At 40.9% G+C, this 19,223-nt stretch overlaps 1 long non-coding RNA gene across 1 annotated transcript in view; it reads right to left on the bottom strand.

Annotated features, from left to right (window-relative positions):
* LINC03009 (long intergenic non-protein coding RNA 3009) overlaps nt 1-18,427 on the bottom strand; it is a 78,642-nt gene extending 60,215 nt beyond the window's left edge. Inside the window, exons 1-2 of the long non-coding RNA NR_029411.1 lie at nt 17,907-18,427; nt 16,246-16,348 (exon numbers count right to left, since the gene is read on the bottom strand). This is a non-coding gene — a long non-coding RNA (long intergenic non-protein coding RNA 3009). The remainder of the gene's footprint in view (nt 1-16,245; nt 16,349-17,906) is intronic.
* Between the last annotated feature and the right edge of the window lie 796 nt (nt 18,428-19,223).

Genomic DNA, 19,223 nt, shown 5'->3' with positions numbered 1-19,223 from the left:
TCTAATTGGTAGGTAGTGGTATCTCATTGTTTTAACTCACATTTCCCTGGTGACATATGATGTAGAAGAGAATCTTTCTGGTAGTTTATTTCACATCTGTTATATATATATAATGTTAATTTGTTAATGAGATCCTAGTCTATGTTTTATTTTTTAAGTTTCTTTGTCAGTCTGGGAATTTTTTTTATGGATGGGGTCTTGCTATGTTGTCCAGGCTGGTCTTGAACTCCTTGCCTCAAGCCATCTTCCCACCTCAGCCACCCGAGTAGCTGAGACTACAGTCATGCACCACCACACCTGGCTAATTAAGTCATCTTCTAATGAATGTATAATATCAATATAATGAGTAAAACAGTATTTAACCATTCCAATATTGATATTATACAGTTTTCTTCTATTAAAACAAGGATACGGTGGAGCCAAGATGGCCGAATAGGAGCAGCTCCGGTCTACAGCTCCCAGCATGAGCGACACAGAAGATGGGTGATTTCTGCATTTCCATCTGAGGTACCGGGTTCATCTCACTAGGGAATGCCAGACAGTGGGTGCAGGACAGTGGGTGCAGTGCACCGTGCGTGAGCTGAAGCAGGGCAAGGCATTGCCTCATTCGGGAAGCACAAGGGGTCAGGGAGTTCCCTTTCCTAGTCAAAGAAAGGGGTGACAGACGGCAACTGGAAAATCGGGTCACTCCCACCCTAATACTGCCCTTTTCCAATGGGCTTAAAAAACAGCACACCAGGAGATTATATCCCACATCTGGCTCAGAGGGTCCTACACCCACGGAGTCTCGCTGATTGCTAGCACAGCAGTCTGAGATCAAACTGCAAGGGGGCAGCAAGGCTGGGGGAGGGGCGCCCGCCATTGCCCAGGCTTGATTAGGTAAACAAAGCAGCTGGGAAGCTCAAACTGGGTGGAGCCCACCACAGCTCAAGGAGGCCTGCCTGCCTTTGTAGGCTCCACCTCTGGGGGCAGGGCACAGACGAACAAAAAGACAGCAGTAACCTCTGCAGACTTAAATGTCCCTGTCTGACAGCTTTGAAGAGAGTAGTGTTTCTCCCAGCACGCAGCTGGAGATCTGAGAACGGGCAGACTGCCTCCTCAAGTGGGTCCCTGACCCCCGAGCAGCCTAAATGGGAAGCACCCCCCAGTAGGGGCAGACTGACACCTCACATGGCCGGGTACTCCTCTGAGACAAAACCTCCAGAGGAACGATCAGGCAGCAGCATTTGCGGATCACCAATGTCCGCTGTTCTACAGCCACTGCTGTTCTGCAGTCACCACTGCTGATACCCAGGCAAACAGGGTCTGGAGTGACCTCTAGCAAACTCCAACAGACCTGCAGCTGAGGGTCCTGTCTGTTAGAAGGAAAACTAACAAACAGAAAGGACATCCACACCAAAAACCCATCTGTACGTCACCATCATCAAAGAACAAAAGTAGATAAAACCACAAAGATGGGGAAAAAACAGAGCAGAAAAACTGGAAACTCTAAAAAGCAGAGCACCTCTCCTCCTCCCAAGGAAGGCAGCTCCTCACCAGCAACGGAACAAAGCTGGACGGAGAATGACTTTGACGAGTTGAGAGAAGAAGGCTTCAGATGATCAAACTACTCCAAGCTACAGGAGGAAATTCAAACCAATGGCAAAGAAGTTAAAAACTTTGAAAAAAAATTAGATGAATGGATAACTAGAATAACCAATGCAGAGAAGTCCTTAAAGGACTTGATGGAGCTAAAAGCCAAGGCTCGAGAACTACGTGAATAATGCAGAAGCCTCAAGAGCCAATGCGATCAACTGGAAGAATGGGTATCAGCGATGGAAGACGAAATGAATGAAATGAAGCGAGAAGGGAAGTTTAGAGAAATAAGAATAAAAAGAAACGGACAAAGCCTCCAAGAAATATGGGACTATGTGAAAAGACCAAATCTACATCTGATTGGTGTACCTGAAAGTGACGGGGAGAATGGAACCAAGTTGGAAAACACTCTGCAGGATATTATCCAGGAGAACTTTCCCAATCTGGCAAGGCAGGCCAACACTCAGATTCAGGAAATACAGAGAACACCACAAAGATACTCCTCGAGAAGAGCAACTCCAAGACACGTAATTATCAGATTCACCAAAGTTGAAATGAAGGAAAAAATGTTAAGGGCAGCCAGAGAGAAAGGTCGGGTTACCCACAAAGGGAAGCCCATCAGACTAACAGCGGATCTCTCGGCAGAAACTCTACAAGCCAGAAGAGAGTGGGGATCAATATTCAACATCCTTAAAGAAAAGAATTTTCAACCCAGAATCTCATATCCAGCCAAACTAAGCTTCATAAGTGAAGGAGAAATAAAATACTTTACAGACAAGCAAATGCTGAGAGATTTTGTCACCACCAGGCCTGCCCTAAAAGAGCTCCTGAAGGAAGCACTAAACATGGAAAGGAACAAACGATACCAGCCACTGCAAAAACATGCCAAAATGTAAAGACCATCAAGGCTAGGAAGAAACTGCATCAACTAACGAGCAAAATAACCAGCTAACATCATAATGACAGGATCAGATTCACATATAACAATATTAACTTTAAATGTAAATGGGCTAAATGCTCCAATTAAAAGATACAGACTGGCAAATTGGATAAAGAGTCAAGACCCATCAGTGTGCTGTATTCAGGAAACCCATCTCACGTGCAGAGACACACATAGGCTCAAAATAAAAGGATGGAGGAAGATCTACCAAGCAAATGGACAACAAAAAAAGGCAGGGGTTGCAATCCTAGTCTCTGATAAAACAGACTTTAAACCAACAAAGATCAAAAGAGACAAAGAAGGCCATTACATAATGGTAAAGGGATCAATTCAACAAGAAGAGCTAAGTATCCTAAATATATATGCACCCAATACAGGAGCACCCAGATTCATAAAGCAAGTCCTTAGTGACCTACAAAGAGACTTAGACTCCCACAAAATAATAATGGGAGACTTTAACACCCCACTGTCAACATTAGACAGATCAACGAGACTGAAAGTCAACAAGGATACCCAGGAATTGAACTCAGCTCTGCACCAAGTGGACCTAATAAACATCTACAGAACTCTCCACCCCAAATAAAGAGGATATACATTTTTTTCAGCACACCACACCTATTCCAAAATTGACCACATATTTGGAAATAAAGCACTCCTCAGCAAATGTAAAAGAACAGAAATTATAACAAACTGTCTCTCAGACCACAGTGCAATCAAACTAGAACTCAGGATTAAGAAACTCACTCAAAACTGCTCAACTACATGGAAACTGAACAACCTGCTCCTAAGTGACTACTGGGTACATAACAAAATGAAGGCAGAAATAAAGATGTTCTTTGAAACCAACGAGAACAAAGACAAAACATACCAGAATCTCTGGGACACATTCAAAGCAGTGTGTAGAGGGAAATTTATAGCACTAAATGCCCACAAGAGAAAGCAGGAAAGATCCAAAATTGACACCCTAACATCACAATTAAAAGAACTAGAAAAGCAAGAGCAAACACATTCGAAAGCTAGCAGAAGGCAAGAAATAACTAAAATCAGAGCAGAACTGAAGGAAATAGAGACACAAAAAACCCTTCAAAAATTAATGAATCTAGGAGCTGGTTTTTTTAAAAGATCAACAAAACTGATAGACCGCTAGCAAGAGTAATGAAGAAAAGAGAGAAGAATCAAATAGACGCAATAAAAAATGATAAAGAGGATATCACCACCAATCCCACAGAAATACAAACAATCATCAGAGAATACTACAAACACCTCTACGCAAATAAACTAGAAAATCTAGAAGAAATGGATAAACTCCTCAACACAAACACCTTCCCAAGACTAAACCAGGAAGAAGTTGAATCTCTGAATAGACCAATAACAGGCTCTGAAATTGTGGCAATAATCAATGGCTTACCAACCAAAAAAAGGTCCAGGACCAGATGGATTCACAGCTGAATTCTACCAGAGGTACAAGGAGGAGATGGTACCATTCCTTCTGAAACTATTCCAATCAATAGAAAAAGAGGGAATCCTCCCTAACTCATTTTATGAGGCCAGCATCATCCTGATACCAAAGCCTGGCAGGGACACAACCAAAAAAGAGAATTTTAGACCAATATCCTTGATGAACATTGATGCAAAAATCCTCAATAAAATACTGGCAAACCAAATCCAGCAGCACATCAAAAAGCTTATCCACCATGAACAAGTGGGCTTCATCCCTGGGATGAAAGGCTGATTCAACATATGCAAATCAATAAATGTAATCTAACATATAAACAGAACCAAAGACAAAAACCACATGATTTTCTCAATAGATGCAGAAAAGGCCTTTGACAAAATTCAACAACCCTTCATGCTAAAAACTCTCAATAAATTAGGTATTGATGGGACGTGTCTCAAAATAATAAGAGCTATCTATGACAAACCCACAGCCAATATCATACTGAATGGGCAAAAACTGGAAGCATTCCCTTTGAAAACTGGCACAAGACAGGGATGCCCTCTCTCACCACTCCTATTCAACATAGTGTTGGAAGTTCTGGCCAGGGCAATTAGGCAGGAGAAGGAAATAAAGGGTATTCAGTTAGGAAAAGAGGAAGTCAAATTGTCCCTGTTTGCAGATGACATGATTGTATATCTAGCAGACCCCATCGTCTCAGCCCAAAATCTCCTTAAGCTGATAAGCAACTTCAGCAAAGTCTCAGGATACAAAATCAATGTGCAAAAATCACAAGCATTCTTATACACCAATAACAGACAAACAGAGAGTCAAATCATGAGTGAACTCCCATTCACAATTGCTTCAAAAAGAATAAAATACCTAGGAATCCAGCTTACAAGGGATGTGAAGGACCTCTTCAAGGAGAACTACAAACCACTGCTCAAGGAAATAAAAGAGGATACAAACAAATGGAAGAAAATTCCATGCTCATGGGTAGGAAGAATTAATATCGTGAAAATGGCCATACTGCCCAAGGTAATTTATAGATTCAATGCCATCCCCATCAAGCTACCTATGACTTTCTTCACAGAATTGGAAAAAACTACTTTAAAGTTCATATGGAGCCAAAAGAGCCCGCATCACCAAGTCAATCCTAAGCCAAAAGAACAAAGCCGGAGGCATCACGCTACCTGACTTCAAACTATACTACAAGGCTACAGTAACCAAAACAGCATGGTACTGGTACCAAAACAGAGATATTGATCAATGGAACAGAACAGAGCCCTCAGAAATAATGCCGCATATCTACAACCATCTGATCTTTGAAAAACCTGACAAAAACAAGCAATGGGAAAGGATTCCCTATTTAATAAATGGTGCTGGGAAAACTGGCTAGCCATATGTAGAAAGCTGAAACTGGATCCTTTCCTAACACCTTATACGAAAATCAATTGAAGACGGATTAAAGACTTACATGTTAGACCTAAAACCATAAAAACCCTAGAAGGTAACCTAGGCAATACCATTCAGGACATAGGCATGGGCAAGGACTTCATGTCTAAAACACCAAAAGCAATGGTAACAAAAGCCAAAATCAACAAATGGGATCTAATTAAACTAAAGAGCTTCTGCACAGCACAAGAAACTACCATCAGAGTGAACAGGCAACCTATAAACTGGGAGAAAATTTTTACAACCTACTCATCTGACAAAGGGCTAATATCCAGAATCTACAATGAACTCAAACAAATTTAGAAGAAAAAGACAAACCACCCCATCAAACAGTGGGAGAAGGACATGAACAGACACTTCTCAAAAGAAGACATTTATGCAGCCAAAAAACACATGAAAAAATGCTCATCATCACTGGCCATCAGAGAAATGCAAATCAAAACCACAATGAGATACCATCTCACACCAGTTAGAATGGCGATCATTAAAAAGTCAGTAAAAAACAGGTGCTGGAGAGGATGTGGAGAAATAGGAACACTTTTACACTGTTGGTGGGACTGTAAACTAGTTCAACCATTGTAGAAGTCAGTGTGGCGATTCCTCAGCGATCTAGAACTAGAAATACCATTTGACCCAGCCATCCCATTACTGGGTATATACCCAAAGGACTATAAATCATGCTGCTATAAAGACACATACACAGGTGTTTATTGCGGCACTATTCACTATAGCAAAGACTTGGAACCAACCCAAATGTCCAACAACAATAGACTGGATTAAGAAAATGTGGCACATACACACCATGGAATACTATGCAGCCATAAAAAATGATGAGTTCATGTCCTTTGTAGGGACATGGATGAAACTGGAAACCATCATTCTCAGCAAACTACTGCAAGGACAAAAAACCAAACACCACATGTTCTCACTCATAGATGGGAATTGAACAATGAGAACACATGGACACAGGAAGGGGAACATCACACGTCGGGGACTGTTGTGGGGTAGGGGAAGGGGGGAGGGATAGCATTAGGAGATATACCTAATGCTAAATGACGAGTTAATGGGTGCAGCACACCAACATAGCACATCTATACATATGTAACAAACCTGCACATTGTGCACATGTACCCTAAAACTTAAAGTATAATAATAATAAAATAAAAAAATAATAAAAATAAAATTAAAAAAAAAGAAAGAAAGAAAGAAAAAGAAAAATCATGTTCTTGCATCCAGGAATTCCACTTCTAAGAATCTGTCCTAAGGAAATCATCACATGTATCATCAAAGACTTACAAAGATATTCATCACAGTTATTTATAATAGTGTAGAAAATAGAAAAGCATATAAATGTATAAATGTTCGTTAATAATAGTTAAAATTGAAAAAAATAAAAAAATAAAAAATAAAACAAGGATACACCAGACATGCTTCTGTATATATATTTTGCACAAATACATTAATTCACTTAGCAAGTATTAATTGATGCCAATTTTCTTGCTGATAGGTTATAGGTTTTTTTGTGATCATATGTTTTTCTATAGGTTATTTTATAGTTTATAGGTTTTTTATAGGTTATAGTTTATGGTTTTTTTGTGTGTGTGTGATTTCATCAGTGAACAAAAGAGTCAAAGATTTTTGTACTCCTGAATCTCAAAATGTAATGACTGGGATAGGTAATAAAATGATAAATAGTAAAAAGTGAACTATATAGTATTATAATGTGACACATTCTATGAAAAAAGAAAAAGCAGAGCAAAGTAAATGGGTGCAGAAGTGTAGGGAGTGGGAGTGTAGGTTCCAGTTTTAAATAAGATGATTAGGGCCTGTCTTACTGAAAAAGACTTGAGCAAATACTTGAATGAGATAAGGGAAAGTTAACCACATTATAGAAGTTCATTTTCAGGATAGAAACAACAAGCACAAAAGCCTTCAGTTGGGAAGGTGGAGGGAGAGCCGTAGACAGTTGTAGCTGGAGCAGAGTGATCAATGAGGACAACAATGGTCCAGAAGATCAGAGAGGTCTGGGCTGTGGGGGCGGGTAGGTTATGTAAGACCCTGTCAGGCACATGCGAAGTTAGGGTTTACTCTGAGTGACATGAGGGGTGGGGTGGGGGGAAACCAGTGAGGATTTCAGAATAGGAGGCGCAAGACCTGGCTTCTGTTTTAAAAGGTTGTTTCTGACTGCCATGCTGGGAATAGATTGTGTAGGGTGAGAGGACACATGCAGGAAGATCAGGTAAAAGGCCATCATAGAAATTCAGGAAATAAATAGTGGGGCACAGATCAGATTTACGGAGACGGAAGATGAAAAATGTGGTCAGGTTGGGAAACAAGTAATAACTTGTTTACATGCTGATGAGAATGATCCAGTAGGAAAAGGGGAGAAAATGGTGTTAAGGAGAGATAAGGAAATTGCTGGAAAATGTTCTTTGCTAAGTAAAAGCTGCTGGAATGTAGTGCACGTGGGAAGAAACTGACTTTAGATAGTAGTTCAGATAGTTCACCCGGGGCAACAAGATGGGCAGCAGGGAGTGTGGGTTTGTAAACGGTGTGGGGGCAGACGTGGTGATGGGAATCTGTGATGTTTTCTTTTAATCATTTGAATATTCTTCATGAAATAAGATGTACAGTGATCACTTGAAAGTAAGGACAGGGAGGAGGTGTTTTACATATAAGAAAGCAGAAAAAGGTGTGAAATTGAAACAGGATAGTGAAGGAATTAAAGGAATGGGAAACAGTGTAATTGCCTGACTAGCATTAACAGATCTCTATGAGGTTTGTGGTTATGAATTTAAGATGAGAAATGATGGTTGTGTATTGATCTCTACCTATGTTTAGCTGCAGAATTATAGACATAGAGAATGGTGATCTGGATTTAACCAAGTTGTGGTTTTTCCAAACAAGTAAAAGCAATAAGAGGGAGGCAGGCAGTTAAGGATGTATATGTGGAAGTGATTGTTAAGGATTTCCCATGGAATTTATCTTGAGTTATGAGAAGTTAGATTAGAAGATCAAAGGGTTGAGGCATAATGAAAAGTTGATTGAATCAATTGATTGGAGATCCCAGTGGGATTAAAGAATTTTTGTTGTCTGGAACTAGAGAAAGTAAACTGGAAAGACAGATGGTGGAAATCAGAGAGAGGGACAAATGTACAAAAAGGGAGAGAGAGGAGGTGTAATAGGAAATTAGATGAGGTTGAAGCAGCAGCCAGGATCCCAATCCAAATGTCTGAAATGTGTTTGCCTAAGTGTATATTATGTATATGTGTGTATAAGACACACAAAAGACGAACTGCTGTATCAATCAAATCAATCAAAAGATATATCCACTTCCAAAAATTTTAATAGATTCCATGTATCCTTTTAATAATATTGCAATTTATACCATCATAAACAATGTGTAATATTTATCATTTCTTCAAATACATGCCAAAATTAAATTAGTGCTGATCTATATAAATTTACCCTATTTAAGGGGCAAAGTTATTGCAGGTTATTTAAATAAGTATTTTTAAAGGTTTATAGGACATTTTTATATCATTTATGTTGAATATTTAGAGTTTTGCTTATTATTTTATGTGTTTGCATTTTAAATTATATTGACTTCTAGAGGTTCTGTATTTGATGTGTGTATTAAACATTTATTTAACACATATGTTAAAAGTATACTCTTTTGCTCTGTGCTCTGTCGCTTCTATTGTAGTTTAGTTTGTGCTGCCTTTCCCTACACAGGCATACCTTGCAGAAGCTGCAAATTTGGATCCAGATCACTGCAATAGAGCAAATATCACAATAAAGCAGGTCACATGATTCTTTTGGTTTTCCAGTGCATATAAAAGTTATGTTTATGCTATACTATAGTCTATTAATTATGTAATAGTATTATTTCTAAAAAATAAAATGCATACCTTAATGAAAATGTTTTATTAAGAAATGTTAATGATCACTTTCGCTTTCAAGCCAGTCTTAATCTGTTTGCTGATGGAGGACCTTGCCTTGACAATGATAGCTACTGACTGATCAAGGTGGTGGTTGCTGAAGGATGGGGTGGCTGTGGCAATTTCTAAAATAAGACAACAATGAAGTCTGCCACATCTACTGACTCTTCCTTTCATGAAAGATTTCTCCATAGCATGTGATGCTGTTTGATAGCATTTTACCTACAGTAGAACCTCTTTCAAAATTCAAGTCAAATTTTTCAAATTCTGATGCTGCTGATAAAGTTTATCAAATATTCTAGAATTTTGTTATCATTTCAATAATGTTCACAGCATCTTCACCAGGAATAGATTCCATTTCAATAAACTTATTTCTTTGCTCATCCATAAGAAGCAACTCCTTATTTGCTAAAGTTTTATCATGAGACTGTAGTGATTCAGTCACATCTTCAGGCTTTACTTCTTTTTTTGTTTGTTTTAATTTTACTTTAAGTTCCTGGATACATGCGCAGAAAGTGTGGGATTGTTTACATAAGTATACATGTGCCATGATGGTTTCCTGCACCTATTAACCTGTCATCTAGGTTTTAAGCCCCGCATGCATTAGGTATTGGTCCTAATACTCTCCCTCCTATTACTTCCCATCCCCTAACAGGCTCCGGTGCGTGTCCTTCCCCTCCCAGGCAGGCTTTACTTCTAATTCTAGTTCTCCTGCTATTTCCACAACATCTGCAGGGACTTTCTCCACTGAAATCTAAAACCCCTCAAAGTAATCTATGAGGGTTGGAATTAACTTCTTCCAGATTTCTGTTAATGTTGATTTTTGACCTGTTCTCATGAATCACAAATGTTCTTAATGACTTCTAGAATGGTAAACCCTTTCCAGAAGGCTTTCAATGTACCTTGCCCAGATCCATTGGGGAAATCACTATCTATGGCAAATATAGCATTATGAAATATATTTCTTAAATAATAAGACTTGAAAGTAAAAATTACTCTTTGATCCATGGGCTGCACAATTGATGTTTTATTAGCAGGCATGAAAACATTAATCTCCCTGTACCTCTCCGTCAGAGCTCTTGGGTGATTAAGTTATTGTCAATGTGCAATAATATTTTGAAAGAAATCTTTTTTCTGAGCAGTAGGTCTTAACACTGGGCCTAAAATATTTGTATACCGTGCTATCATCTAGGCTTTGTCATTCCATTTATAAAGCATAGGCAGAGTAGATTTTGCACAATTCTTAAGGGTCATAGGGATTTTGGAATGGCAAATAAGTATTGGCTTCAATTAGAAGTTACTAGCTGCATTAGCCCCTAAGAATCACATCAGCCTGTCCTCTGAAGCTTTGAAACCAGACATTGACTTCTCTCTTACTATGAAAGTCCTAGATGATATCTTCTTTCAATATAGGTTGTTTTGTCTACATTGAAAATCTGTTGCTTAATGTAGCCATCTTCATCAGTTATCTTAGCTAGATCTTCTGGATAACTCACTCCTGCTTCTACACTAGCACTTGCTGTTTCACCTTGCACTTTTATATTACAGATACAGCTTCTTTTCTTAAACCTTATGAGCCAACCACTGCTAGCTTCAAACTTTTCTTCCGAAGCTTCCTCACCTCTCTCAACCTTCACAGAATTGAAGACAGTTAGGGCTTTGCTCTGGATTAGGCTTTGGCTTAGGAGAATGTTGTGGCTGGCTTGGTATTCTATCCGGATCACTAAAACTTTCTCCATATCATGAATAAGCCTGTTTTGCTTCCTTATCATTGATGTGTTCATTGGAGTAGCACTTTTAATTTCCTTCAAGAATTTTTTCTCTGCATTCATATCTTTGCTAAATGTTTGGCACAAGAGGCCTAGCTTTTAGCCTATCTCAACTTTCAACATGCCTTCTTCATTAGTCTTTTCACTTGAACATTTAGAGGGCCATGGAGGATTATTAATTGACCTAGTTTCCATATTGTTGTGTCTTAGGCAGTAGGGTGGCCTGAGGAGGGGAAGGAAGATGGGGAATGGCCAGTCTTTGGAGTAGTCAGAACATACACATTTATCAATTAAGTTTGCCATCTTATATGGGCATGAGTTGTGATGCCTCAAAGCAATTACCATAGTAACATGGAAAATCACTGACCACAGAACACCATAACAGATATAATAATAATTTAAAAGTTTGAAATACTGTGAGAATTACCAAATATGACACAGAGACAGAAAGTGAGCACAGGCTTTTGGGAAAATGGTGCTGATGGACTTGCTTGATGCAAGCTTGCCACAAAACTTCAATTTCTAAAAAAATTCTGTGAAGTGCAATAAAGCAAAGCATAAAACAAAGTATGCCTGTATTAGCAATTAAAGTTTGTGTATAGTCAACTATGTTAATCTTGTTTCATAGTTTCTTAATTTTCTATATGCTTAAGAGCTTTCCTCCTAAGATATATATGTATTATTCTACATTTTCTTCAATTTTGTTTATAATTTTTCTTTAACACATTTTCCCATTTTTTTTCTAATTATACTGGCAATTTTATAACACCTTTTATTTTAGGAATGAGATGTGGAAATGAATAAATGATAGCAATGAACCTTTAGACATTTCTTACAATGTGCCAGGTGCTGTTCTAAGGCCTTTACTTGTACTAACTGATTTAAGGTTTATAACAACCCTAAGAGGTAGGTGCTATAATTTGCCTCATTTCACGGATGAGGAAACTGGTGTATAGGAAGGTTTAGTAACTTTCCCAAGGTCAAAAGACTGGTGAATTTTCATCCCGTATTCAAACCCAGGAAGTCTGGCTCCCAAGTCACTACATTATATGCTACTGTCTGGTAAGCTATTAAATTATGCCCAAGTATGGGAAGTTATGCTGAAATTGATATTTCAACTGATCTTCAACTGTGTATTGAGAAATAAATAGAACTGTGATGAAAGGAAGTGGAAATAAGAGCCTATACCATAACACGGCACTGTAAGTTGGTGATATTTTCTAGATATGGAGAAAAGATCATTGTCACAGGTGTATCAGATACATGGGGTGGAGACTGGGAGCTGAGATAAAAAAGGAAGGTTTTCAGTAATGGGTTTGGTCAGGATTTTACCCTGAATGAGAAAGTAACAGTTTGACTGTTGTTGGAGTACAGTGTAGAAGTTAAGAACAGAATTCTGACTCTATTATGATCTAGCTCTCCAAAATCAGAATCTAACCTTTGGTAGAGTCATCTCATAAATCAAAATAAAAATCAAGGTTGGTTTAAAGATTTAAATATTATAATGAATGTTCAGCATTTAGCTAGTCTGGTCAAGTGATAGGCAGTACTCTCAACTGCCATTATTACTAGTCAAAGCAAGATTTGGTGAGACAGTGGACAATCTAGTCAGACAGATGAAAAAAAAAACCTTTAAGTGGTAGTAGGCACAGGTTTTGACTATCAGGCAAATTCAGAGAAGGAGAAAAAAAAATAAGGATAACACTGATACTTTGAGGTTTCGAGACTATGTACTTAATGATGTAAACTGGGGGTCAAAATGAAGAAGAAGGAAGAAATTGAAGGACAAAGTGGGCTGGGCATAGTGGCTCATGCCTGTAATCCCAGCACTTTGGGAGGCCAAGGTGGGCAGATCACCTGAGGTCAGGAGTTCGAGACCAGACTGGGCAACATGGTGAAACCCTGTCTCTACTAAAAATACACACACAAAATAAAATTAACCAGGCGTGGTGGTAGTAGCCTGTAATCCCAGCTACTCAGGAGGCTGAGGCAGGAGAATCGCTTGAACCAGGAAGGCAGAGTTTGCAGTGAGCCGAGATCGCACCACTGCATTCCAGCCTGGTTGACAGAGCAAGACTGCGTCTCAAAAATAAATAAATAAATACATAAATAAATAAAATATTAAAAAGAACAAAAGTGCTCACTTTATTTTTAGAAACATCAAAGTGAGATACTTCAAGTCTAGCTATGAAGATATAGAATATATGTGTATGTATAGAAGTCTCTCTATATTCTGATTATCCCAATATTAACAAGACATAATAAAATCAGTTTATAAAATATTATATCTACTAAAATATCTGTTAATCAATATCACCATGTTTTACCAGTAGAATAAAAAATTATAAAGTACATAACATTGACTCTGAGAAACTGTAATAGCTTAAAGTGCCTTCTGGATCCCCAGAGATTAAATTATATAGAGTATTATTTTACTGTTTAATGTATTTTATTGCATTCTAATTATATAAATGTATGTAAACCACAAAAGCTATGAGTATGAAGAAAATGCATTCTGGTTTCTGGAACAGTCTCAATTTTAAGATTATTTATCTGTTTAGTAAGCTGTGTATTTAAAAATAATAACATTTATTGAGTTCATCCACTGACTGTCAAGTATCTCTGTGTGTCCACAGCATAGGCAATGTTACACAGAGCTGGTGATAGCAGGAGACGGATCTGCAGTGACAAGCAAGGGTAGCTTCATCAAGGCAACACCCATTTCTTGAAACAATGGCTGTCTCCAAACAAAGTCTCCACTGCTCTGTGTTTGCCTCTGAAAACTATCTAGCTGATTATGCAAAAATGCCCTACTCTTTTGCTATGCTAGGTTAAATTAAATTTATTATGTTGTTATGTTTCCATTTTTATTATTTCTGAATACTGATACAGTGTTTTTAGAAGCCAGATTAGAGTTTTTCAAATTAGAGTTTCAAAATGTTCTCCTAACCCGAGGAAATTAATTTTATGAGCGACTTAAGCATCTACACTCTAAAAAGACACCTGCTTTCTCATGGTAAATATATGACTTTAGGATAATTTAAAGAGCCTTTGAAAAGTTAAAAAAGATCAGCAAAATCTACTAATAAAAACAGACAAGATGCTCAGGGGATTCAAAGTAGGTTAAGCTATCAAAATATAAATGCCATTTGAGAGGGATTCTGGCACTAAATTTAGGATTTTAGCATTTTGACACTGATAAATCTTGCTGCAGGGTTCCTAAATCTGATGAGAACACGTGGTAGTGATGCCCAAATGCCTGAATTAAAATATAGTTTGATATTTCAGTTATTAGATTAAAATCAGAAACCTTTAAACACACAGTAATTTATGTAGGATCCTTTTTGTGGGAGACTTCTAAAGCAGAGATTGACTCAGTTTGACTCTGGAAAGCTTCTAAATTGAAGACTTTAAGTGTATATGCCTTGGCCATATGATGCAATTTTATTCCATATCAAATGGAGAAGTCAAAAAGTAGAGTATGATATCATGCTGTTAAGACATAATGAGAAGATTTAAAAATTCTTTTAAATAAACTCTTTAATGGAAATATTCAGAGAGGATAAAAATATTCAGGTGGTATGGTTTGACCTTTAGAGTCACATAAGAAAGATGAGTTAAATTTCAATTTGACTTCCTCTTTTCCTAATTGAATACCCTTTATTTCCTTCTCCTGCCTAATTGCCCTGGCCAGAACTTCCAACACTATGTTGAATAGGAGTGGTGAGAGAGGGCATCCCTGTCTTGTGCCAGTTTTCAAAGGGAATGCTTCCAGTTTTTGCCCATTCAGTATGATATTGGCTGTGGGTTTGTCATAGATAGCTCTTATTATTTTGAAATACGTCCCATCAATACCTAATTTATTGAGGACAAAACGAAAACACTGAGAAGTGAAATGAGAAACAGAAATGAGGAAATCTTCACAAGAGAGTAACTGTCTGTATTGTTTGCTGTGCAACCCGAACAAAAAGACGAACAAATATTTGACGGATGATCACGTCATTCATTCCCCCCATGATCTAGGACTCAACAGTAAAAACAGAATTGTTTACTTGGATCACGATATTTCCGTCCCTGGAAAAATTATATGCACCAAGTTCTCCTTGGGCAGCAGGCCCTCTGCTTACATAAGCACCAAGAATAAGCCATAAGTTACAGTAATTAATGGTTGTTGTTAGGAAAGCTATCCACAATTACACCAACTTGAATGAAGAAATTTTTCCAAGTCCCAGAAAATCTTTTAAATCCACAAGTAACAAAACTGGTTTCTCCTTATAATCAATGCAAACGATGTCATGGATGGTGATATGGTTTCGGTGTGTGTTGCCTCCCAAATCTCATGTTCAATTGTAATCCCCAGTGTTCCCTCTTCCTCCTGCTCTGGTGATGGAAGATGCGCCCGCTTTCCCTTCACCTTTCACCTGACTGTAAGTTTCCTGAGGCCTCCTCAGCCATGCTTCCTATGATAGAGCCTGCAGACGTGAGCCAATTAAACCTCTTTACTTTATAAATTACCCAGTCTTGGTTATTTCTCTATAGCAGTGTGAGAATGGACTAATACAGATGGCACTTTCCTTTTGTGATGACTGCCAAGAATATCAGTCCTAGGTGCGGCTCAATTTCAACAGCCTTAAAATATACTACCCATACATACAAGCTTCACAAATCATTTTTGGTGCTGATCTGCCACACTAACTATATTTTACAGGATAATGTCTATTTCCACATTCCCATTTTAAAGTATGAATCCTGGCTGGGCTTGGTGGCTCATGCCTGTAATCCCAGCACTTTGGGAGGCTGAGGTGGGAAGATCACCTGAGGTCAGGAGTTTGAGACCAGCCTGGCCAACATAGTGAAACCCCATCTCTTCTAAAAATACAAAAAATTAGCTGGGCATGGTGGCGCACGCCTGTAATCCCTGCTACTCAGGAGGCTGAGGCAGGAGAATCACTTGAACCCAGGAGGTGGAGGTTGCAGTGAAGCGAGATCATGCCACTGCACTGCAGCCTGGGCAACAGAGCAAGACTCCATCTCAAAAAAAAGAAAAAAAAAAGTATGAATCCTTACAAACCTCTTAAAATGCATCATAAAATAAAATTGAGGAACATATACACAAGCAGGAAAACTCACCTGCAATGTGTTCATTTTCTGCTGCTCTTGGAAACTTGCAGAGACTGTGGCTGATAGACCTAGAGGGGCAGAAGCAGGTCACTGAAGTCATGAGGGCTCCGGCCTGCAAAGGCAGAAATCACCTGCATAAGAACCGCAAAAGAAAGCTCAATAGGCTAACACCCTGTGAACACTCAACCTGCAAACACTCAGAAGGGTCTAAAAGAGTGATACAGGGTTTCGCCATGTTGGCCAGGCTGGTCTCAAATTCTGGCCTCAAGTGATCCGCCTGCCTGGGCCAACATGGCAAAACCCCGTCTCTACTTAAAAATAACAAAAAAAATTAGCCAGGCATAGTGTCACATGCCTGTAGTCCCAGCTACTCAGGAGGCTGAGGCACGAGAATCCTTTGAACCTGGGAGGTGGAAGTTGCAGTGAGCCGAGACCACGCTGTTGCATTCCAGACTGGGTGAGAGACACTGTCTCAAAAAAAAAAAAAAAAAAAAAGTGATAGGGGAAGCATGCGCCTGTAACTCTAAGATAATCAGGTAGTAATTAGATGAGTTAGACTCTCATGGGTAACACGACTCCTTTTACAAATAGTCTGCCATCATCAAATACAAGGTGCAAAAAGAAAAAAAATTCCCATTATACGGCTCATGTTTTTTGTGGTTTGTTGGTTGAGACAGGGTCTCAATCTGCCACCCAGGCTGGAGTGCAGTGGTGCATTCACGGCTCTCTGCAGCCTCGACCTCCTGGGCTCCATCCATCCTCCCACTTCAGCCTCCTGAGTAGCTGGGACCACAGATGCATCCCAGCATGCCTGGCGACTTTTGTATTTTTTGTAGTCAGGGTGTCCCCATGTTGTCTAGGCTGGTCTCTAACTCCTGGTCTCAAGGGATACTCTTGCCCTAGCCCCGCAAAGTGCTCGGATTACAGGTGTGAGCCACTGCATCCCGCCCGCATTTTCTTATTGTCTCTTTAAACTGCCTAAAATAAAATAGGCCATAGGAATTGAGTAGGTGAGCTCTCAGAAATGAAATGAATGTGTATAAAATATGGTTTTGTTTCTAAATTATCTAACTGAACTTAGTTATTGTGGCACCTAATAATCTTCTATTAAGAAAACTAGGATACGGGAGAAATAACACTGGCCTGGGAGATAAGTCTCCTGGGTTCTACTATGAGCAGCTCTACCCACAAAGCCGGTGACCTGGTCAAGTCACCCACCTGCTAAGGCCCAGTCTCTTCCCCTAGCAACTGAGGCAGCAGGAGAGAATCCCTGCAGACTGTTCCTGCATTACTACGATTCTCCCAGGGCAGATCTAAGGGGGGGATCAGCAGACACTTAAGTGAGAGAATAGAAGTGCTGACGGACATTTAGAGGCGGTCGAAATCTGGAGCACGGAGAGGAGGAGGAAGGACTGTTAGGGGTTAGCGGGGAGTGGAGACGACGTCCGCAGCTGAGGGTGGTGACACCCTCCACGCCTCCCTAAGCCTCGTCCTCCCAGATCTTCCCATGCAGCGCCTGTTCGGTGCAGCCGGACCCTGCCCTCGAACCCAACACATGTCTCTCCAGCAAGCAATCGGGACCCTCCCTCTGCCCCACACTCTAAGGTCCCCAAAACACGGTGACTTCACCCAGGCCCTTCTCGCTCCGGGCCCAAAAACCCAAGACTTACCCTCCTGGGGCTCCGCAGCCTCTGCCCCACGGCTCCTGAGAGGCCGGGGCGGGCTGCTGTCGCTGGCGCACGCGTCTGCTCACGAGGTCCCCTCCTGTCCACCTCACCAAGGCTGTTCTGCTCCCGAGGGGCCCGGGCCGGGCCTATGGGGCAAATCCAGGTGGGTGTCCTTCTCGGGGCCCAGATCCGCCTCCCTGGGGCTCACCGTACAGCGACGGCCGGCGCCAGGCCTCTGAGGACACACACGGGCCAGGCCCAGGTCCCGTCGCCCCTTCGCCTCCGCCATCACCTCCCGCCCGGCCCCTCTGGCCCCAGCGCCGCCGGCTCCGGGGTTCACGCTCGGGGGTCCTGGCTCGAGCCTCTACCCGGCCCGCGCGAACCCTGGGCCGCACAGCTCCCGCCCGCCTAGGTGCTGGCCCGGGCGGTCAGCGTCTAGCCCCGCAGACTCGGTGATTCTCGTCCACTAGAGGCCAAAGCCTGGGAACCAGAGCAAGCGATGACCTGAACAGGCGCAGGAAGCGAGGGCAGTGCGGAGGTGGCGCGCATGTGCGAGCACGCACGCGCGAACACGCACGCAGGGAGAGGTGCACACGCGCAGGAGTGCACCGGAAGTCCGCCTCCCCGGACACCCACCGCGGTCCCAGGACAAGTAACAGACTCTATTTCCCATGAGCCTACGCGCTCCCCAAGTTTAGGGGCTGTCTTAAATGTCTCTACCCCGCCTAAAGGTTAAGAAGCTCCAGGCTATGAGCTTTGGCAGCCCTGAACCCCGGACTGAACTTCACCTTTGTCTTTACTCCCTTTTAGGGTCAAGTCCAGGGCTGCGTTACTGGGTCCTGGAGCCCAAGTCCTCTGGGTTAGAACCGAGTTTGCCATAAGGAGAAGGAAAGGAAAGGGTGTATCATGGTCACTGCTCTGAAATGCTGAGAAGTTTCACTCAAATACTGGGACAGGATAAATGCCCAGCGATGCTTTCCAAGGAACAAAAAGAAAATAGAATTTGTAGCTGGGCGCGGTGGCTCAAGCCTGTAATCCCAGCACTTTGGGAGGCCAAGGCGGGCAGATCGCGAGGTCAAGAGATAGAGATCATCGTGGCCAACATGATGAAACCCTGTCTCTACTAAAAATACAAAAATTAGCTGGGCGTGGTGGCGCGTGCCTGTAATCCCAGCTACTCGGGAGGCTAAGGCAGGAGAAGCACTTGAACCTGGGAGGTGGAGGTTGCAGTGAGCCGAGATCACGCCACTGCACTCCATCCTGGCGACAAAGCGAGACTCCATAGCTTTTCTAGATCACACAGCGAATGCCTAAAAACTG

This window comes from Homo sapiens, chromosome 7 (assembly GCF_000001405.40).
Source record: "Homo sapiens chromosome 7, GRCh38.p14 Primary Assembly".
In the NCBI taxonomy this organism is placed as follows: Eukaryota; Metazoa; Chordata; class Mammalia; order Primates; family Hominidae; genus Homo; species Homo sapiens.
Note: the sequence above shows the minus strand (reverse complement) of the source record. Positions and strands in the feature narration are given on the sequence as shown.